The sequence below is a fragment of the Homo sapiens genome, chromosome 11, assembly GCF_000001405.40.
Source record: "Homo sapiens chromosome 11, GRCh38.p14 Primary Assembly".
In the NCBI taxonomy this organism is placed as follows: Eukaryota; Metazoa; Chordata; class Mammalia; order Primates; family Hominidae; genus Homo; species Homo sapiens.
The window spans coordinates 127,065,740-127,089,043 of NC_000011.10; the positions used below are offsets into that span (position 1 = coordinate 127,065,740).

The following is a 23,304-nucleotide window of genomic DNA, read 5'->3' on the forward strand; positions in this document are numbered from 1 at the left end:
CACCCACCTCGGCCTCCCAAAGTGCTGGAATTACAGGTGTGAGCTACCGCGCCCTGCCGAAGTGTACACTCTTAAACAGAAATGAGGGGAATGGAGGCTGAGCAGGCAAGAACAACAGATATCTGACCTAGGGTTATTTAGCTTTTCATGGGAAAATATATTCCACAACCAAACTACTTTCTTTAACACTGATATCATTTCTGATGCTAAACAGGCATTGTAAAAAATGCACACATTAATCATAAGATGAACCAATCCTGCAGCAAGTAAAAAGCTCAGGGCACCTCGTCTTCTCTATGGAATATCATAACCCATGCAAACTTATCCTAAAGAAGTAACCCCAGATGCATACCAAGAGTCAAGGCTGTTAAATGCAGCAATATTTAAGTAAAATAGCAACAAAATATTGGAAATAACATAAATATCCACAATAGAGAAATGGTTAAGTACCTTATAGTTTTTTGCTATTAAAAGTGCTGCTCCTAAAACGTACTTGATATAGAAAAATGCTCAGGAAATTACAATACGATGTTCCACAAAAACGCCAAAATGCAAAAGTATTTATATTTGACGATCCCAGATTTGTGTGAATATACACAGTTTCACTAAAGGCTGGAAGGAAATACTCCGAGGTGTTAAGAGTTCTCTGAATGGTAAAATTGCCAGTGAATTTTTTCTGCCTTTATACTTTTCTGTTTCCCAAATTTTTGCACAGGAACGGTATCATTTCATGATTGAAAAAACACACTTAATATTTTTAAATGCATACTTCAGTGTCAGTGCCGTGGAAAACACATCCCATTGGATTTATGGTGCTTGCAAGTGGGAGGACCCATTCTTTCTGGGGCAGAGGCCAGAATACACACAGAGAAGAGCTTTTTGGCTTGCGTTGCCCCAGGCTAGGCAAGAGGGCATCACTGGCTTCTGTTTCTCATGGGTCAGGGTTCCTGTTATTTCCATATGGGTGGTTTCTTCATTTGCTGCTCACTCAGGCTTCCGGGGAGATATCCACCCACCTCCTTATTTACTAAGTGGGGGAGGCAGAGCAGGAGGAAGATGGAGAGAGAGAAGAGAGAGTGCTGAAATCTTTCCCCCTAAAGCACTGCAATAAAGGAGCATATGTATCAACTAAAAAAATTCCTTGGCAACAAAAGCTTTTTAATTGAACACAGTCTCTTCAGCCAACTTATGTAAATTCTATCCCAATTTTGGGCATCTATTTTGAGCACAGAGAGAAGCGGTATGAATCTTGCCCTAAAATTGTGCTCAACAGAAGGGGTGACGCCATATGGATGCCATGTTATGGGAGCCTGTCACCTGCTAACCGAGATGAGAAATTACAGGTTATAATCCCCTTCCTGCTGTCTGAGGAGCCCAGGTGGGTGGGGAGCGCTTTGGGTATCAGGTACTGGGTGATCCATTGATACTTGCTTGGGGCCTTCCCACAGGTGTCTGAGAGGTCACAGGGTGAAGGATAAGAGAATCAGTGCCTCTAGATGGGGCAGTGGGGTGAGGGGTGGAAAGTGCTTGCTTCTACCCCCAAAGGAGCTGGATTTCCTTCTCCTCAGCTTAGGTGGGAATCTGGCTGACCATGTAAAACTAACCAGCTGAGAGTTAGTGAGTGGCTCTTTGGGGACTAGACCAACCTTGAGAAATGGCCTCGCGTGGAAGTTGGGAACTGGGAGGAGGGTGATGCACCTATTGCATTGTACCTATTAGTGGAAAAGATGGAGAAAGAGATCCGGGGAGGACTGTGGGCCCACTCTGAGTATTCTCCTCCATGGGGAGCTATGAGTTCAACCCACCCCTCCCTCTGTGTCTTAGGGAAATGATGAGTTTTGGGATCTGCAGGAGGTTGGCTACAAGTCAGATAACAAAATATGGGTAGCAGGAACTGCAAGTTGCCTGGTTTTTGTAAGTGGCTTCTAATAAATCTGGAGATTTTCTCTGGAAATGCATTTATCATAGATAAAATGATAGCTTAATATATGTGGGAAAAATCATGTGGACACGTTACATTTATTTGTCTATGCCTAACTTGTTTCCCCCAAAGTCACTCCAAATCATAGGCGAAAATCCCAGGCCAATTCAATGTCAGGTGTTTATTATTTCTCTTTGCTTGCTCTTAAGTAGGTTTAAAAGCTGTATTGGCTACCTGAGCACATAGGTGTTTCCACCATTGATGTGATAACTTTGGATGGTCTCAATCGTAGGCTGCACGAAAATGGTGTACAATTACCTTTCTGAAAAGCTCTTACAGGATTGCATCCTGTGTCCCCAGTGCCTGGTAGAGGACCTGGAACATAATTGATAGTAAGAAATGTTATTAAACAAATAGATACATACACAATTTCCATTGGTCCTGCCCACTTTTGCTTGGAGAAATAAAGCATGCAAGAGACCAATGGGGCTGTCAGTGAGAAGTGTTGGATCCAAGAGTTAAAGCAATAGGGTAGAAGTAAAAGAGTTCTTTGTCTAAGGTCAACTGAGAATACGAAGGTTATTTGTTTCACCAAAATTCCCTAGTTTTTTCTCTATAAAATGAGGATGATTGTCATATAGCAAGTGATCGATAACTCACTAGTTATAAATGTCCAAATTTTTTAGAAGCTACCTATAGATTAAAGATACCAATACGCCACCTGATCTTGCTGTTTTTCCTTTGCTTGACTGTTTTCCATGAACCAACTCAGCTGGTCCATGGAAAATATTGCTCTTTCTCCCTTATTTACTCTCTTCCTTTCTTCTTTCCTTTTACCATACATGTTTATTCAACACTTATTATATTATAGGCACCATGATAGTCATTTGGGATAAAAAAGGGAAGGGGTCATGCCTGACTTCAAGGAATTTACATTCTAAAGAAGGAAGCAAACAACCAAATCAATAGTTATACTAGACTAAGATGCACGTACATGGACATATACAGGGTATGGTAGGAATACAGAAGTGAGGTAGCTAAGTCAGATTATGAACTCCTAAAAATAGTAAATGAGGTTCTGAGATGGCTTATAAGATTGCATGTATGTGTACGAGAGAGAGACAGAGAGAGAAGTGGAGGAGAGTAATAATTTATACAACACGTTATTTGTAAAAGATAACTGACTAGACATGACATCTATGATACTTCAAAGTTGTTTTGAGGAAAAACTGAAGAAATACACATGAGCCACTTATCATAATGCCTGGCTAATAAAAATTCCAAAAATAGTAGTTATTGGTGGTGGTCATAGTAGTATTACTATTGTATCTTATACACATCAATGAACATTTAAGAATATCTATTATAGGTTAGGTACCGTATTAAGCCCTGAAGAAACATATGGTGTGGTAAAGAATGTGAATACGCAAATAATTCATTAGCTTATAGAACATCATGTGTGAAAATAGAAACATGGAAAAGTAAAGCAATAGTATAGAAAAGGGAACGCTTAAAATAGTTGGAATAGTCGGCCAGGCGTGGTGGCTCAAGCCTGTAATCTCAGGACTTTGGGAGGCCGAGGTGGACAGATCACGAGGTCAAGAGATCGAAACCATCCTGGCCAAAATGATGAAACCCCGTCTCTACTTAAAATACAAAAAAATTATCTGAGCGTGGTGGTGTGCACCTGTAGACCCAGCTACTCGGGCACCTGAGGCAGGAGAGTCGCTTGAAGCTGGGAGGCAGAGGTTGCAGTGAGCCAAGATCACACTAATGCAGTCCAGCCTGGGCAACAGAACCAGAATCCATCTCGAAAAAAAAAAAAGGTTGGAATAGTCTGAAAAGTGTTTTAAAGGATGAATAGGAGTTTGCTATATAGACAAGGAGCAGTAGGGAAGGACATGGCAGGTGAAGGCATTAATCAACATGGTATATCCAGGGAATTGCCAGAGAAGATGGGCAGCAACAGTAGTTGAGGATGAAAAGCCTGTCAACAATGGGATAACATTTTTAACAAATTACCCTGCAACAAGGAGCCACTAGATGCATATTTCTATTATCAAACTCATTCAACTGTATTGTAAGTTGTCTACATTTTCTTCCCTTCAGGAATGTGAGCTACTTGAATGAAGAAATGTTTATTATTTTTTTCACTCCCTACTGCCTAGCGTATACTGTGTACTCAATATTTGTTGAATGAAGAATCAATTAAAATCAATTCCTAAGAGGAATTCCAGACTTTCTTGAGGCGATATATGCTTGGCATTTCAGAGGTCTGGGCGCTCCTCCCAGGGGTATTCACTGAAGGGTGTTGAGTGGCTATTCTCCATGTCTGGTGAAAAGGAGACCAGGGTGAAATGTTTTAGCTGCAGTGGAGAGACTGACCTTTTAACATCAAGTCATCACCTAATAATAAGATTTTATGGGGCACCAAAAATGGGGTGATTGAGAGTGGCCATGGGATCATTTTCTCAATTTTTTTTATTGACAAAGGACAACGTATTAGGGTTCTCCAGAGGGACAGGACTAACAAGATATATGTATATATGAAAGAGAATTTATTAAGAAAAATTGACTCACACGATCACAGGGTGAAGTCCCATGATAGGCTGTCTGCAAGCTGAGGAGCAAGGAAACCAGTATTGGTTTAGAAGCCAGTCCAAGTCCCAAAACCTCAAAAGTAGGGAAGCTCACAGTGCAGCCTTCAGTCTCTGGCCAAACCAGAGTGGGGAGAGGTGTACACTGTTTTTTTTTTTTTTTTTTTTTTTTTTGAGACAGAGTCTCACTCTGTTGCCCAGGCTGGAGTGCAGTGGCACAATCTCAGTTCACTGCAACCTCCGCCTCCTGGGTTCTGAGAGCACCTGGCAAGCCACTGGTATAAATCCATGAGTCCAAAAGCCAAAGAACTTGGAGTCTGATGTTCGACATCCAGCACAAGAGAAAGATGAAGGCTGGAAGACTCTGCAAGTCTGCCCCTTCCACCTTCTTCTGCTTGCTTTTTCTAGCCACGCTGGCAGCTGATTGGATGGTGCCCACCCACATTGAGGGTGGGTCTGTCTCTTCCAATCTACTGACTCAAATGTTAATCTTCTCTGGCAATGCCCAGAAGCAATACTTTTCATCCTTCAATCCAATAAAGTCGACAATATTAACTCTCACAGAGAATTTTGCTGAAAGGGTTGTTTTTGGGGATTAATTCTAACCGGAAAGGCTCTGCTAGGAGACACAATCTGGGGGTCTTACGAAAATTGGTTTTTCAGTAGATAAACATGAGGTTGAAACAACATGGGATAGGCTTTTAGTCTAAGGGACCAGCTTTGACATCGGTTGCCTTGATAAGCTCAAAGGGAGGCTCAGAGGGTGGGTCCCCTTCCCTGCCTCTCAAGCAGCAGGTCAGTTTGAGCTCACATCTCACCTCGGGAAGTAGGAAATTGAATGACTGCTCTTCTCACTTCACAGGGCAGGTTTTTTATCCTCTGGGGAAAGTCTTTGTGAATGCTCACAGATTCTGCCCATAGAATCTAAGCTCCTTGAGGGCTAGGAGGAAGCAGGCCGCCATTGTCCACTGCTATATTTTCAATGCCTGGTACACTTCCCAACACTTTGTAAGTGCTCCCTACATATTCATTGCAGTGAATAAATAAAAATAACAACTAATACTTTTGTACCGCTTACTATGTACCAGACACTGTTGTAGGGGCTTTGCAGGTATTAATTTATTTCATCTCCACTACAAACCTATCCAGATGGATGGGACTAGTGTGAATAGAAGAAATGCTGATGATGTGATGGTAGACAGAGCAATCTGTGCATCATCCGAGCCGAGCCACAGTGATGGTGCCGGCAAACAGGGGCTTTCTCTTCAGTAAATAAAGGGCAGCCTAGGGTAGATGTGAGATCTCAATGGTAGCTCCCTGACTCTAACAACAAGTAAGGAGGGTTATCTGATGACTCTCCATGATCCAGTCCAGACAGAGACAAGCTTATGACAATGATATTTGCAGCTGCAGCAAAGCCAGTCCCTCTGTGAACGATCACACTGGTGACGCAGGTCTCAGGCTCCCTCTGTGAATGATCACATCGGTGGTAAACATGCTTCTTTCCTTGAAAGTTAAACCCGTTTTGAGCAGGGCTGTGGGGTTGAGTGTGTGCGGGAGCCCCTGGGGAGGGCAGGTCACCCTAGACAGTTAATGCAAACACAGCTGCTATCCCCGTGGAGAATGGTCTCTTAGTAGCAATTGCTGGGCCCACAGTCGAATCAATGTTGTGCAGTGTAGCTGATGGGAAGTGTCAGTTCTCCTAAGTCTTTCCTTTTCCAGGATAATCCCCTCATTGGACCTGAGGAGCAGAGAAGAGCTGGCCTCTGAGCAGGGTGCTGGGGAAAAGTGTAGCTTCCATGTCCTGCACCTGCTTCTCTCTCCCCAGGAGACTGTGGAGCTTAGGGAGGCTTGACCCATCTGTATTTGACACGAATGTTTTCTCCCTAGCTGACCTCACCACTGTGACCTCACCTTGGTGGAGAGCAGCAACAAACTCATAGGTGCTGATAATTGAAACTCAAGGAGGGAAGCAGAAATGTGTGTTATTTGGTAGAATGGGCAATTCAAGAACAATTTAGTTTTGGGATGCATTAACTGTCTTATTTCACATATGTAACTGATGTTTAGAGATGGATGGGACCATAGAGGTGATTCATTCCAAAATCTTTATTTTACAATGGGGAAAAGGAAGGGTTGGGAAAAAATTGAATAAATAATGCCATTTTATTGAGTAGTAGCTGACTCCCAGTCCATTGCTTATTTCAGTAAACAAAATTATTTCCCAGATATGAACAACTATGTCTACAGAAATAAACAAATGTTTTTGGAATCACGGCAATAGAGAATCAAGGCGAAGAAAGTTTTCTGAATTCTTCAGCCAGCAGAACCCGAAACTCTGAATTTTCCTGTAGAGGGGGTGACTTTGCCTTGGGTTTGCCATTTGAGCAGAGATCAGCTAGTGAGTTGTATCTCTGGTCTGCAGAGCTTGTGAATGGCACAGAAAATGAGGAGGATTTTGAAGCCAGCTAAGGCCAGGTTTGTATTGTAGTTCTGCCATTTTCTTATCTACTGTGCAACTGCAGGCAAGTAAGTTCGCTTTTCTGAGCTCAGTCTCTTCTTTGGAAAAAGTGAATGACGTATGCTACGTATCTGTTCCCTCTGTCTTGTCGACAGTGGTCATGCACCAGGCACAAGATGCTGAGGTTTGTTGTCTCTATTTAATGTCTCACTACAACTTCACAGTTTTTAAAATGAGGCAGCAGTTAATATTATAATGTCTATTTTACAGGAGAGGAGAGCCTGACGTTTCAAGAACTCAAGGTTCAGTACTAGGTCTTAGAGGAAGACTTCATTTTAGCTTTGATGCTCTCCGCTAGGCACAGAGAAACTTAAGCAGAATGACAAGACCTGCTGTTTGAGTAACTCACGTTCTGACCAGAGAGACAGACATGTCAGCAAGAGGTTACAATACAGTGTGCTCAGATTCTCCGGGACTTGGAGCACTTGTTCCAGAAAGGAAGGCCAGGGAAGTCTTCCAGGAGTAGATGGCGCCTCTGCTGACCTGAAGGGTGAGGAAAAAGTGTCCAGTTGCAGAAGGTATGATACTGATAATATAGAGATAAGATAGCTTTTAAAGACCTAGAGGTGTAGACTAGTTTGAAACAGATTGAAGACCTACAGATAGTTGTGTGTGACTAGAGTGGGGTTGGGGTGGGTGTGTGAGGAGATTTAGCCTGGAGTCTGACCACAAAGTGCAACACATATCATGTGAGGAGGGATCTGGACCCTAAAGCATCGGGAACCTGGGAAGAGACTCAGTAGGGAGTGACATCATCAGATGCGAGTTTTGGCAAGATAACTAACTATCTCACAAGGTTTCTGTAGGAACAGTAGAGCCTACTGTAAAAATGTTTCAGATTGTGGCTGAGCAAGAAGCCAAAATAACATACAAGGCAGCTAATTAACAGCATTTTCCAAACCTCCCACCTAGGTGTTTCTACCTTAGCTACCTTGCATTCCTTCCTGACCTCATCACAGACACTAAGCTCAGTCTGAGTGCTATGGTAGAAGTCCAAGGCTGGCAAGAAACAGAGCACGAGAATGGGAAACCACAGGGTGGATGGTTGCATCTCTGCAGCTCCTCCCCTTCTGGCTTAGAGGAACCTGGGTGCACTGACTGGCGAGCAAGGGTATCCTGCTCCTGGGCTGTCATCCACCCTTCAGGAACAGCCTCGTTGGCCTACTTGCTGCAGGAGCATCTGCATCTTTGCTTAATTGGATTCTCATCTTTTTAAAAATGTATTTTTGTGCGGTTGCCTAGAGGCATTCAGATAATGGGTGCATTTTTAATAGACTCAATAAGTAAATAACTGTTATTTTCTCCTCAAGAAATCCAGGGGGACTAGAGTTCTATTGCAGCTTTGAAAACAATCATACCAGAAATTGGACTAGGAGACATTCTTGCACAGACTCTCTGGGTGATTCTCATTGTTGTTCTCAGGACAGATGAGACCCAGCTGTCACCAGACACAAGTATGAGTCAGCTTGGGAGTGTGTGGCGCTAGTGCAGCTGCCTTACCGCAGACACCTGAGGGTTCACATGCTGGCAGCTAACCCCCTCTAGTGTTGATTAGAATAGACTATTTGCAGCTGTGGGAACAGACTTGCATGTTGAGGTGGTAAATCTGTGAGTGGGTGCCCCACCCCATGCCCCACTCTCTGCGTCTCAGGCCCACAGTGCTGAGACCGATGGTTTAGGGTTTCTAATTTTGTGTTGCATGGTGACTCCATGACCTTTTGGTAGCCTGCCCTGATTGCTCCCCCATAACCAAGGCCTCTCTCATTCTAGGCTGTACTGCCCTCCCCATGTCTCCCTGAGGTGTGATACTCATTCTTATCGCCACACTGTGTTCACGCCACTCTTTCTGCCTGAAATGCCCTCCCCTACTTCCACTGTAATTCTTCACATTTCAGATCAGGTTTCAGTTCCTCTTTCCCTCCCCGACTAAAAGTTCTTCTCTACAAATCTTGCAGCACTCAAGCACCAATGTCTTGCATTTGAGATATGCCACCTCATGCTTTTATTTAGCTCTTAATGGCTACAGAAGCTCTTGCGGGAGCAGAATGTTGACGGGCATCTTGCATGTAGCAGATAGCCCCACCTTGTTTATCCCAGGAAGCTGATGGACTACAGCAACCATCACTTAACTCTTGCATAGGAGCAGCTTAGACATAAAGTAGCTTCTCTACCTGCCCTCTTCAGCTTGTTGTGTCTGTCACACCAAACCCAAATCTTCTCTGACAACTTTCCAAAAAATTCTGGGTTACCAGCACTGCCAAACCCAGGGTGAATTATATGCTTGGGCCTAAAGTATTCCAGCCTAATTCCAAAATTATTTTGAATTTGTGGTGAGCATGCAACTTAAGTGACATAAAGGGTGGTTGTTTGAGAGCTACGTCCTGTGCTTGTGTATTGTTTTATGCTGTATCCAGCCACATTCTTCCTCAGAAAAAGAGAGGAGGTGAGCTTGGTCCTAATAAACAGCAAAGCTCTCATTAGAGAGAAACTCTCCAGGCCTGGTCCCTCATTAAATTGATTGGATCCATTTTACAGATTTGTTCACTGAGGCAGCCATGCCCTGATTGCATTTTAGGAGGACCACGGAAGTCAAGAAGTTCAGCTTCTGAACTAACCAGACTATCACTGATTCGTTCTGCACCCTGAACTTTTACCCCTCCTGTTTTGCTAATGGAAATAGGCTAATTCAAAGTCACAAGAGCAACACTTTGAAGTGGAGCCTTGCTTGAGATGAGGATTATAGACTTTAGTTTCGAATGAACCCCAATGGAGCCTTTCTTCCTGGGAAGACGTAGAGCAGCCCTTCTGTAACTCTCCATTCAAACCTCTGCAAATGCTATCAGCCATTGCTAAAGCAGATCTCAGCAAGTTTATTTGGGGACTTATGCCTCATATGTGCTCTCCTTCCCTTCCTCCCTACTTCCACTTATGGTCTCTATTCCACTTTAGCCACCTCTATTTCCTTCTTGCCCAGATTTAACAAGGTCCCTCTCAACCCCTCTCTCAGAGAACAGAAGTTAGTAGAGGGAATGCCGCAGGGTCCCACTGCCTGCAGAACCTCTTCAGCTGAATCCCAAAGGAAGCTCAGCAGCTGATGGGGAAGTGATTTATAATCCTAAACACAGTTCTTTCACTGTTGGTTCTGGCTTCTTGCATCACAAATTGCTCTGCATATTAGCATTACATTGATGACATTCAAAACAGGTGCAACTGCCTATAGAACAGCTGCCGCGGCCCACTGAAAGCTTCAAGCCGAGACCTGAGGTGCATGAACCCTCCTTCTGATAAGCTTCAGAGCAGGTAAAATCATCATTAAAGGAAAATTGACTTGTAAGTATGTGCAAGATTGTAGTTATTGCATCTAACCAGAAAGAAAAGCGAGGAGCCAGCAGCCGAGGGAATCTTCTTTAAAAATGTATTCAACAGAACAACAGAAAAGAAATTGCCATCTCAAGAGTGTTATGACACAACTTTAATATGGCAAGAGAGCAGACTGCTTGCATTTTCCTGGAATAGAGGGGGTCACAGCCTGGAGCTGGGGCCTGGGAGGCAGCATGGTATGGAAGCCCAGGGAGCACAGGGTGCAAGGTCCTACTTTAGAAAAAATGGAGCAAGAGGTTGTATTATGGGAAAAAAAAAAGCAACCCAAAGAAGCCTGGGAATATCAGATTTGGAGTCAGCCTAGTTAATGCTGGAACCCAATATGTCACCTGTGATAATTTTGATCCTGAAGGATAATTTCTAAGATTTATTCCATTTAAAACAAAGTGACCTAAAAGTTTTCACAATAAGAGTCTGGAACTCAGAAGGAGGGTTAAACTTAAGGTGGCCCCGGTCTGACTTCCACATGCAATTCTGGCTTCTACTTTTATACCTATACTACCATTTACTGAGCACTTACAATATGCTGGGGGCTAAGTGTATCACTTAATCTTCACCACGATCATATCTGATAGGGTATAAATGTCATCTAACAAATGAATTTAACAAATGAATAAACAAATAACTAACAAATGAGTAAACTGAGGATCAGGGCAATTGTTACCTGTCCCAAATCACACAGCTTGAAAGAGGCAAAATCAGGATTTAAACACCAGCTGCCAACCCTAAAAGGGGTTGACCCTCTTTTTTCAGAGTATCATGTAATTTATTTCACAGCCATAACGAAGCAAGAGAATGGGAGTGTAGATAAAGCCTCCTACGCAATCCTCTTCTTCCTCTGGCCTGTATACAAATAGCAAAGTGATACTGCAAAAATGATGGGGAAGGCCAGGTGCGATGGCCTACACCTATAATCCTAGCACTTTGGGAAGCCAAGGAGAGCAGATCACCTGAGGTCAGGAGTTTGAGACCAGCCTGGCCAATATGGTGAAACCAGTTTCTATTAAAAATGTAAAAATTAGCCAGGAGTGGTGGTGGGCACCTGTAATCCCAGCTACTTGGGAGGATGAGGGAGGAGAATTGCTTGAACCCAGGTGGTGGAGGTTGCAGTGAACCGAGATCATACCACTTCACTCAAGCCTGGGTGACTACGAGACTCCATCTCAAAAAAAAAAAAAAGGATGGGAAATAAGTAATAAGCAGATGTTCTCTTAGCACAACTTCATAAGTCATACTTTTTCAGATTTCAACAATGCTATTGATGGGTAATTGACACAATAAAGGGCATGTGTGTAAACCAATGTATAAGACATCGGTTGGTTGGAATGGTCTTTTGATAGACTGGCCAGGGCAGCCCCTCTTCCCAGCACCATGGCTCTGTGGGATTTAAATCCAATTGCTCAGCTATAGCCACACCTTCATTACTACCTGAGCTGTTTTTGCCCATGGCTTGGGAAGGGACTGGGATGGAGAATTCTGCAGAAATAAAGCCCCAACTTGTGGGGACAGACTCGGTTTAACCCAGGTTCATGTCATTCCTGGCTGCCCTCCCATCTTCCTTGGTAAGTCAAGGAATCTTAGAGGTAGGAGGAACTGCAGGGATCACCTGGTTCAGATCCTTCATTTTACAGATGAGGAAGTTAAGACTCAGAGAGATGAAGAGAGAATGATCACTAATGATAAAGAGATGATGACCCGGGTCTGCTGACCTGAGGCCGCATCTTTCAAGGACCACTTCCTCATATGTCCATACTGCAAAGCTTTGTCCTAGTTGTTTCTCTGGAGGGTGTGGACGGGTGGGGGAAAGGGGTCACTTCTCTTCAAGAGAAGAGCACCTCTGTGCCTGTGTAGAGCCCTTGCCCATCCTCCTGCCCCCAGCCCAGCCTTTGTAGTGATGGAGCAGAGGCATCTTGGTAAGGGGATTGGGTCAAGCTTTCAATGAGGTGCTGCAGGCAAGGAGCTATAGCAAAGCAGATCATCTGCTTCTCAACGGAGAAGCCAGGGCATCCTTACATAGCCAGGTGCTGCAAGAATGAGGGAGAACAGCTCAGGCTATTGGCTAATATCTGCGTTTTAGCCTAGTATATGCACCAGGCCATGGGCTTGGTGTCACGGGGGCATTCCAACACGAAGAAATGAACAGCATACAGCAGACAGAGGCTCAGAGATCTTACTGCACATGAGAGGTAGCAAGATATCTACACAGAAGAAAGAAAACTGACCACTTGCAATGAGGTGGGGGCAGAGCTCCCTGTGGACTGGGGTCCTCAGGGCAGCATCGGGGAAGGGCAAGCTGAGGAAGGTCTCTGTGGGGACAACATCTTCATCGTCAGGAAAAAGGGCTGGTCTGGCCTGTTCTGGGGCTGTCTCTAGTCCCACAGTTGTACAGCTGTCACTAGATAAATTAGTGTTCACCTGACCTCCGCTTTAGCCAGAGACTCTCCCCTTCTACTCTACCAAGACTTCCACTGTGCTCTGTGGCATTGCAGGATCGATTTCCCCCTCCTTCTGTGTCTCTGAGTACCATCCAAATAATCACATCTGTGCAATGCTTTGGGGTTTAAAAGCTCTTCAGCACCCATTGCCACAGTTCTTCCCCATTACTTGTAAGGTGCATGGGGCAGTGTCATTATTATTATAAGAGTGGAGGACATTCAGTTTAGGTACCCTGAATAGTAAAAGATAAAGCTGGCCTTACTATTGTGTTTTCCGGATCCTTGCATGAGATCATACCACCTCTTTGCCTCTTTCTTCTGTGCGGATTGTAGCTGCACCCTCCATGATCTGAGACCAGCTGAAACGTGGGTCAGGCCCTTAGGTGACAGGTTAGCTGGAGTGACAGAAGTGGCAAGAAGACTGTGGACCACGTGAGGTGCGTCTTTTGTCAGACAGCTGTCCCAGCACAAGCGGCTGCCAAAGCCCATGTGGAAATACGGGAGTGTCTGGGAGAGCATTTAGGATTTTAATCAAGGAGCCGAAGTGCATTTGCTTTTTCATTAATCCCCATATTAATTAGTGTCATTTGCAAAAAGGGCCTGATGTACACTTGTGTCTGCTGAAGCCTCCACTGGCAATCCTGGGAGGCTGTAATGCAGGCTAATTCCTGCATGCTGCGTCTGCCCTGCTGCAGGCTGAAGCCTCCACTGGCAATCCTGGGAGGCTGTAATGCAGGCTAATTCCTGCATGCTGCGTCTGCCCTGCTGCAGGCTGAAGCCTCCACTGGCAATCCTGGGAGGCTGTAATGCAGGCTAATTCCTGCATGCTGCGTCTGCCCTGCTGCAGGCTGAAGCCTCCACTGGCAATCCTGGGAGGCTGTAATGCAGGCTAATTCCTGCATGCTGCGTCTGCCCTGCTGCAGGCTGAAGCCTCCACTGGCAATCCTGGGAGGCTGTAATGCAGGCTAATTCCTGCATGCTGCGTCTGCCCTGCTGCAGGCTGAAGCCTCCACTGGCAATCCTGGGAGGCTGTAATGCAGGCTAATTCCTGCATGCTGCGTCTGCCCTGCTGCAGGCTGAAGCCTCCACTGGCAATCCTGGGAGGCTGTAATGCAGGCTAATTCCTGCATGCTGCGTCTGCTCTGCTGCAGGCTGAAGCCTCCACTGGCAATCCTGGGAGGCTATAATGCAGGCTAATTCCTGCATGCTGCGTCTGCCCTGCTGCAGGCTGAAGCCTCCACTGGCAATCCTGGGAGGCTGTAATGCAGGCTAATTCCTGCATGCTGCGTCTGCCCTGCTGCAGGAAAATAATGTAATTTTCTTTCAAAACCTGAGGGAGGTCTCAAGGTCTCTCTAATGGAGGCAAAAACAACGACAACAAAAATATGGGCTACAAGGTTCCTCTGCACTTGTGCCTTGGCCCAACAGCAGTAATTACACAGATTAGAAATTGTGCTTAAAAAATCCTCTTTCCCATGTGCCCCACCTCACTTCCTAGGGCCCCTCATGGCTCCTGTTCACCTTCCTGACAGATAAATACCTGGGATCCACTCATTCATGCCTCACTGTGGCTCCTTGGTACTCAACCAATTCAGCTTCCATATCACCCCTGGAATATTCCCGTCTCCCTTCCTCAGGGGCGGATGCAGCATTTTGGAGACTTCCAAGGGAGAAGAGCAAGATAAAAATTGGGAATCTGGGGGAGCAGTTTTAACAATAATAGCTACATGAAAATAATATTAATATCATTTGCTTATTAAGGACAAGCCATGGGCCTCAGTGTTTTCAGCACTTCACCTATACTAACACATTTAGGTAATGTTATCCTTCTTGTTTTAGAAATGATGCAACTGAGTCACAGAGAAGTTAAGTAATCTGCCTGCCGACACTCGGGTCGATGCCGCCTCATTCCATCACTCGGGCAATGGAGCCAAAGGCCACGTTCACAACCACTAGGCTGTCCCAGCCCCTTGGTATGATTTGTCCCTTCCTAAGGTGTGCTTCTCTCATCTCTGGTCCTATTTCTAGTTGTTTCCTGACCCTTCACCATTTCCCCCTTGGCCCACGACCTTCATCATCCCAGCAGGTGGCAGGGCCTTCCCCTTTGACCTCCTCCTACCTTCACAGGAATCATCGTTTCAACATTTGCCTTTCCTAGTCTCTGGATATCAAAACTCATCAATTCCATAGCTCTCCCCAGCATGCCCTGCTACAAGCTTAGACAGCATGGCTGTCAAGCCAGAATCCCAGCAGCCTCCCCCATTGGAAGTCCCTGGGGTGGGGTGGGGTGGAGTGGGAGCTGAGTGGGCAGAGTTTCATCCACAGCACCATGTGCCCACTGTCTTCTGCCATGTGGTTCATGGAAAAGAATGTTTATTTCACTCCTAAAAGCCAGTGTGAAAACACTGGTCGCAGAATACCATGAGTTAACCTAACCTACTGCTGTTAATGATGAAACCCTTCCCAAATAATGCTTGGCTTTAGCAGAGACCTTTTGTTTAATGAGTTAGGTCAAAGGGGTGTTTCGTTTATAAATTTCAGATACTGCAGTAAACCCCATAGGGTGTGATATTCATGGTTGTGGGGAGTCTGGAGGATCCTGAAAATCATGCCACCCTCAGTGAAGCTAGTGCAGTGGCCCTTTCATTTTAACTCTGGATGGGCAGAAGGAACATGTGTGTGCGTGTGTGTGCGTGTGTGCACAGGAGGTGGGCAGATGGGGCTGAATAGCTGAATACCTGCTCACAGCATGCTGTAGCTTCAGGCTCTGTTCTAGGTCCTCAAGCTTCCTGGGGGGCTCTGGGTACACATTTGTTTATCCATCTTTCTCCTCCACCCCAAGCAACTTCCCGTAGGCCACCTGAACTCCGCCTCTCCAACTTGTCAAAGAAGAAAGCTGCAACCATGTAATTATGACATCCTGGGGGTAATTTTAACTATAAGTCATTATTCTCAAACAGCCGATGCAATCCCTATTTGCCAGCACAAAGAGATGATTCTCACTAGCCTGAACTCACTGTCAAACATGCCAGGAGAAATAAAAAGGTGCTAATGCAATATAGCCCAGAAATAGAAAATAAGATTAGAGGCAACGCTTGAGATTTCAGGCTGTTGGGCGGGGGAAATAGCACAGGGTTTAGTTACCAGCAGAACTGTCAGACAAAAAGCCTCTGAGTTCATTAATACCAGAACCTTCATTAAGGCAAGTGGATAAAATTAAAGGGTGTTTTGTGAGGATTTAATTTTTCCTGGAGGTTTGCGGTCTCTGAAGGGCGTCTGGTGCTGGCTCTGAGGCCAAGGCGGCGGGCCCTGGAGTGGGGAATCAGGATGCTGGAGTTCTCATTTTTTGTCGTCTTCTCAGTGGGCCCTGCTGAGAACAGGCTGCATGAGGGGGCGCCTGTGCAGTGCTGAGCCGCTGCATCAGGGAACTGCATCTCCTTGTCCCCAAGCCACGTCCTGTGAAACAGCACGGAGTCTCCTGCACAGCTGGAACAAGCATAGCTCAGCCTTAGCATGGGTGGGGCAGGGTAGAAGAAAAGCTGTGTCGGGACAGGGCATCTTTGTGAGTTCTGAAGACCATCCAGAGACTCAGGGTGGTATTGGTGGAAGCGTAAAAACAGGTCTGACTTTACGCAAAGCTGAGAAGCAGGCAATGGTAGTCTTTGGTGACTTCTCGTGGGTACTTTTAGGGGTCCTCTCTTACCCCTTGTGCCCTTCCCTCACTCTGTTCTCGGAGTGCCTTTGTGTCAGCTAGTTGTCACAAGAAATATAATAAATAAATGCCCTCGATCTTGTTAAATGATTAAGGTTCAGAGGTATTAAACAGTCCTCCCAGGAATGTTTATAGTTGTAGAAATACATTTCTGAGGCTGAAAAGGACTTAATGGACTATGCTTTAATATGGAATGCAGGCATTGTGCTTGGTCAGTGAGGGGGCTACTTGGGAACTGGTCTTTCCTCTGTACTCTTTTCTTTCTTTAAAAACTACACTTAAGTTCTGGGATACATATGCAGAACGTGCAGGTTTGTTATACACGTACACACGTGCCATGGTGGTTTGTTGCACCCATCAACCCGTCATCTACATTAGGTAATTCTCCTAACGCTATCCCTCCCCTAGTCACCCATCGGCTGACAGGCTCTGGTGTGTGATGCCCCTCTCCTTGTGTCCATGTGTTCTCATTGTTCAACTCCTATTTATGAGTGAGAATATGTGGTGTTTGGTTTTCTGTTCCTGTGTTAGTTTGCTGAGAATGATTGTTTCTATCTTCACCCATGTACCTGCAAAAGACATGAACTCATCATTTTGTATGGCTGCATAGTATTTCATGGTGTATATGTACTACATTTTCTTTATCCAGTCTATCATTGATGGGCATTTGGGTTGGTTCCAAGTCTTTGCTCTTGTGAATAGTGCCGCAATAAACATACGTGTGCATGTATCTTTATAGTAGAATGATTTATAATCCTTTGGGTATATACCCAGTAATGGGATTGCTGGGTCAATTGGTATTTCTGGTTCTAGATCCTTGAGGAATCACCACACTGTCTTCCACAATGGTTGTACTAATTTACTCTCCCACCAACAGTGTAAAAGCATTCCTATTTCTCCACATCCTCTCCAGCATCTGTTGTTTCTTGACTTTTTAATGATCTCCATTCTAACTGGCATGAGATGATATCTTTTTGTGGTTTTGAGCGGATCTCCTAGCACAGCACTCGAGCTCTGCTAAGGGACAGACTGACCCCTCAACTAGGCCCCTGATCCCCGTGCCTCCTGACTGGGGGACACCTCCCAGCAGCGGTTGACAGACACCTCATACAGGAGAGCTCTGGCTGGCATCTAGTGGTGCCCCTCTGGGATGAAGCTTCCAGAGGAAGAATCAGGCAGCAAAGCTTTGCTGTTCTGCAGCCCCTGCTGGTGGCACCCAGGCAAACAGGGTCTGGAGTGGACCTTCTCTGTATTCTTAATGCTATTGTGTAGGGTCACAAATCAGGGCATTCGGATCAATCTTTACCTTGCTCTGGGATGCCGAGTAAGATCCGCCTTTGGCATTCTGTCATTCCCAGGAAAGACTGGATGGTGATAACGTGCCTGTTCTTTCACCCTGGGTGGGGGATGAAGATGGTGGTGGAGTATGTTGAGGTTCTTCATGTTTTCCTTGTGTGTTGATGGAAATGAGCTCTCTATGGAGTCTCAGTGTTCTAGGACCTTTTGGGGGGCTTTATCATAGTCAAATAAATCCAAACAAGAAATCCTCTCTGGGCTTCTTCATGTGGGGCCTAGGAGATGATGTGCTTTGATTTTGCACAAATGGAGAAATAGAAATCTAGAGAGGGGCTGGGACTTTTCCAGGGTCCTAAATTGGGATTGAGAAGGTGTCTCCTGCAGGTGATTATGCATCTGGGAGCTAAAGACAACTCAGTCCTAACTGGGATCTACTTGTGACATCTGGCCTAGGATTTTAGTAGCTTAAAAAATGTCTGACCAAATGAAAAGCTTATAACCTGACTTTTATGGAAACCCAGTGCTCATGGATATGGTGTCCAAAGCTATATGATTCCACACCTACAGCAAGGGGCTTATTTGGGAACATGTTAGAATGCAGAATCCCAGGCCCTATCCCACACTTGTGGAGTTGGAATCTGAATTTCAGTATGTGCATACTCCAGGTGATGTTTACATTAAAGCTTGAGAAGCACTGCCCTGAATCACAGATTGGTCATAAAGGAGATGGATTCCAGGCTGGGGGGATATTGGGCATCAGCTAAATTCCATGGAAGGGGAGTAACAACCCCTGTATTGCTTGCTCACCTTGGTGCTTGGAAGATCAAATGACACAACAAATGGGAAAGCCCATGGAGGAGCACATAGTGCTTGGAAAATGCACAGCATTTTCATGCTCATTGGCAGCTGGCCGGGCCCTACCCTGTTAGCCAGGGAGTCCTCTTCATCTCCACAGCCAAAATTAATCTATTTCTCTGCTCTAGTGCTTCTAGTCTTTTTGAAACAACATCACTTTTGGTTGCTTTCATCCAAACTGCAAAGAGTATTTGAATTCACATTACTGCCTTTAGTGAGATTCTCTTTTTTACCTCCATATTTTTTTTTTTTTGACACACATTTGCCATGGTGCCTGGGACCCAGTGCAGAGGAGATTAGCTCTGTGTTCAGCCACTGGCCATGCCTCTGAGGAGCAGAGCTTTCTGTTTATCTCTTAGAAGCAGATGCTTTGGATTTTATCCTGGGGGAATTTATCAGGGTGCTCTGAATTCATTCATTCATTCATTCTCATATTCCTCTCCACCCTGAATACACACACACACACACACACACACACACACACACACACACAACCTCTACACGTCAGCCATGTCAATGTTGTTTGCTGTATATTTGGGAGGATGTTTGCCATTTAGAGCCATTCTGGAATCGTCTGTAGTTTACTTCTCTTCCCTCTAAGCACATCCTTAGCTTGGGTTACTTTACCCCGTCAGTGGCAGCCTGTCTTGGCCCCAGTCCTTACATGTAGCCAATGCATATGGATTTCTTCCAGTCCCAGCAGCTCTTTCATCTGACCTGGCATTTTCAGAGCAACACCAGGGTTTTCATTTTCTTTCATACAGGTGCCTATGTTAGGATGACTTGAAGTACTCAGAGAGAGAAAGTCATTGCCCATTTGTTCAAAGGGTTCATTTTTCTTTTTTTTCAAGCACGAGTACACATGGGCATGCAATTACAAATGCACAGCTCTTACCATGAGCACATTGTAAATGCATGGTTAAGTGATTGATTTATACGGTGATTTATTTATGTTTTTGTCTCCATGAATGACCGTATGTTTAGTGAGCAAAGCATGGTATTCATACAAGTATATGAATCCATGCATGCATTAATATGTGCTCATTCAGTACGTATTAAGCACTAATGTGTTCAAGTGTTGTGTGTCACATACAGATACAGGTTTTGCTTTCAAGGGCTTTTAGTCTCCTAAAGGGGATGAGATATTTCCATGCAACTTTCATACAAAGTTGAGTTTTTTTCCTCCCAAGATGGTGGTTTAGAGATTTTTAGCATTCCTCAGCCACTTGGAAATAGCAAGATAGTACATAAAGATCAACCACGTGAGCTTTAATTCAAGATGGAAAATGAGAATCCACTGGAATCATGAAGGACATCCCAGATCCCAGGAAGGAGAACACTGGCAAACAGCGCCCGAAATAAAAGTGACTGGCTGATAAAAGTCGGTGAAGCCTCAGTACACAAGAGAGGAAAAGAGCCTCTGTCTGACTCACCTTTCTGCTGGGGATCCAAGTAACCCAGGCTAAGGGGTGGTGGAAGGGGTACACTTTTGTTTCTTCCAAGCTCTGGAACTAACTGGGAGAGAGGCTTGGAGATGCTGTGAGGGAAAGACACTGGGGAAAGCTGCAGGCATTTTTCCAGACTGGGACTGACAGCAGGATGCCATTTTTAATCCAGGGGCATAACAAGTCAACCATTCTTTGGTGACCTAGCATCATGGCCATGCAGGCATTTTAGTCTTGGGCCAGAGATTGGATCACCTGCTCTTGAGCAGGATAGGAGCCTCCACAGCCAGAACTGTGGAAGGTGCTTCAGCAGTAGGTGCTGGAGTTATCCTCTTCACCCATAGCAAACTGGGGGTGGGAGGAGAGCTACTAGAGCTGCAGTTTCTCCTGGGTGGTGCGACTTGCAGCCAGAGCCAGTTTGGCAACCTGGAACCAGTCTGCATGTGACATTGCTAGGTGTCCCAGCCTGCTCCCCTAAGGTCATGGTGCATGGGGCCCTCTCCAACTCACCCTCAGGCAGATCTCCAGCCATTTAGAGCACCCACTTGCTTGGAGCAGCAGCCTGAGCCACTCTACCCTTCCTGGGCATGGATCATGGTGCAGCTTTGCTCCATGCCCAGTCAGATCTCCAGGCATTTGAAGCACCCCCTCACCTAGATCAGCAGCCTGACCCACCCTACCCTTCCTGTGTGAAGATCTTGGTATGGGGTGGGGTGTCCCTCTGTGCTCCACATCCAGGCAGATCTCCAGGCATTTGAAACACCTGCTTGACTGCATCAGCAGCCTGAGTCACTCCAACCCTCCAGTGCAGAGATCTTGGTGCAGGGGCTGTCTGTGCTCCATGCCCAGGCAGATCTCCAGGCATCTGGATCACCTACTCTCATGGAGTTTAGGCTGCCCTCATCCCCATGCAGAGACTTTGGTGCTGAGGAGGTTTCTCAGCTCCATGCATAAGTACATCTCTAGGCACTTGGTGGCCACCCACTGGATTCTCCCTCAGTGCTGGTGCTTGTGCCTGCCATCATAAGACCTGATGTAGGTGGACCTTCCCAGTCTGACCCTGCCTTTTGTGGCTCCTGCCCTCCCTGGGGTTGAGCAGGGGGCTCAGACCATGGTGCATTCCATGAATCAACCCAGAGGCAACAGAGATCTTCTGTCAGAATAAAGTATATCCCAGCCATATTGGCCATAGCAGGCTCATATCTATAAGTGCCATATATTGGCTTATAGGTTAAATGGCATAGCCCAATATGAAACCTACCAAAAGAAATACATAGGGCTATAGAAGCAAAGCCAAAAGACACTACCTAGCATCCTCTACAGTCACAACCTCTAGGAGAGGGGAAAAGGAAAAGGAAGGAAAAAATAATACAGTAGGGAAAGAAAGAAAAAGAAAAAAATCCTACCTGCACAAAAATAATTAAAAAAATTAGAAGTACCAGCATCTGGAGATGAGAAGAAACCAGTGCAAGAATTCAGGCATCATGAAAACTCTGAATGTAGTAACATCACCAAAGAATCACACTATCTATGTCTCCAGCAATGGTCCCAGACCAAATGGAAACTCAGAAATGATGGATAAAAGATTCAAAGCATAGATTGCAAGAAAGCTCAATGAGATCCAAGACAAGGTTGAAAATCAACACAAAGAAACTTCCAAAGCAATCCAGGAAAGGAAAGAAGAGATAAACTTCAATCAGATTAATCTTGTGAAAAATCAATCAGAGCTTCTGGAATAGAAAAACTCAAGGAATTTTGAAATGCAATTTAAAGCTTTATCAATAGACAGGACTATGCAGAAGAAAAAATTTCAGACCTTGAAGGCCAGTCTTTTGAACTAACTCAGCCAGACAAAAATACAGAGAAAAATTTTTTAAACAAAATCTTTGAGAGAGAAGGAGAAAAAAGCAAATAACCTCGAAAACATATTTGAGAAAATAATTGAAGAAAATTTCCCTAATCTTGATAGAGATGTAGACATCCATATACAAGAAATCCAGAGAAGACTTATGAGATACAACACAAAATGAACATCACTAAGGCATATAGTCATCAAGTTAATGCTAAAGAAAAAAATCTGAAAGGCAACTAGAGATAAAGGTCAGATCACATACAAAAGGATCTCCAGCAGGATAACAGTTGACTTCTCAGCAGAAACATTGCAAGTCAGGAGAGATGGGAGGCCTGTTTTTAGCATTGTAAAGAAAAGAAATTCCAATCAAGAATTGTATACCCTGCCGAACTAAGCTTCATAAACATGGGAGAAATAAAAGTGTATTCAGACAAGCAAGCATTAAAGGAATTTGTTACCACTAGACAAGTCTAACAAGAGATCCCTAAAGGAGTTCTAAACATAAAAAGAAAAGAAATCTGCTACCACAAAAACACACTTAGTGCATAGCTTGCAGACCCTATAAAGCAACCACACAATAGAAACTACAAAGCAATCAGCTAATAATTTTATGACAAGATCAAAACCTCACATATCGACATTAACCTTGAAGGTAAATGGTCTAAACACCCAACTCAAAAGTCACAGAGTGGCAAGTTGCCTAAAAAAACAAGACCCATCCATCTGCTGTCTTCAGGAGAGCCATCTCACAAGTACTGACACCCACAGGCTCAAAGTAAGAGTTGAGGAACGTTCTATTATGCAAAAATAAAACAAAAAATACCAGGGGTCTATTCTTATATCAGATAAAACAAACTTTAAAGAACTACACTAAAAACGGACAGTGAGATCAGGGGCCCATAATGATAAATGGTTAAGTTCAACAAGAATATGTAACTATTACAAATATATATGTACCCAACATTGGAGCACTCAGATTTATTTTTCAAAAATACAAAAAGGTGGTTTTTTGAAAAGATAAATAAAGTTGGTAGATCATTATTGAGATTAACCAAGAAAAGAAAAGAAGATCCAAATAAATACAATTAAAAATGAAAGAAGAGATATTACTACTGATACAACCGAAATACAAAAGATTATTCAAGGCTACTATGAACATCTTTATGTGCATAAACTAGAAAACCTAGAGGAGATGGATAAATTCCTGGAAACATACAACCCTCCTAGATTAAACCAGGAAGATGTAGAAACTTGGAACAGACCAATAACAAGCAGCAAGATTGAAATAA

The 23,304-nt window shown here is 44.5% G+C and overlaps 1 long non-coding RNA gene across 1 annotated transcript in view; it reads left to right on the top strand.

Annotated features, from left to right (window-relative positions):
- Window positions 1–1,262: 1,262 nt before the first annotated feature.
- Window positions 1,263–23,304, top strand: part of LOC101929473 (uncharacterized) — a 34,305-nt gene continuing 12,263 nt past the window's right edge. The window contains exon 1 of the long non-coding RNA NR_120578.1: window positions 1,263–1,378. This is a non-coding gene — a long non-coding RNA (uncharacterized LOC101929473). The remainder of the gene's footprint in view (window positions 1,379–23,304) is intronic.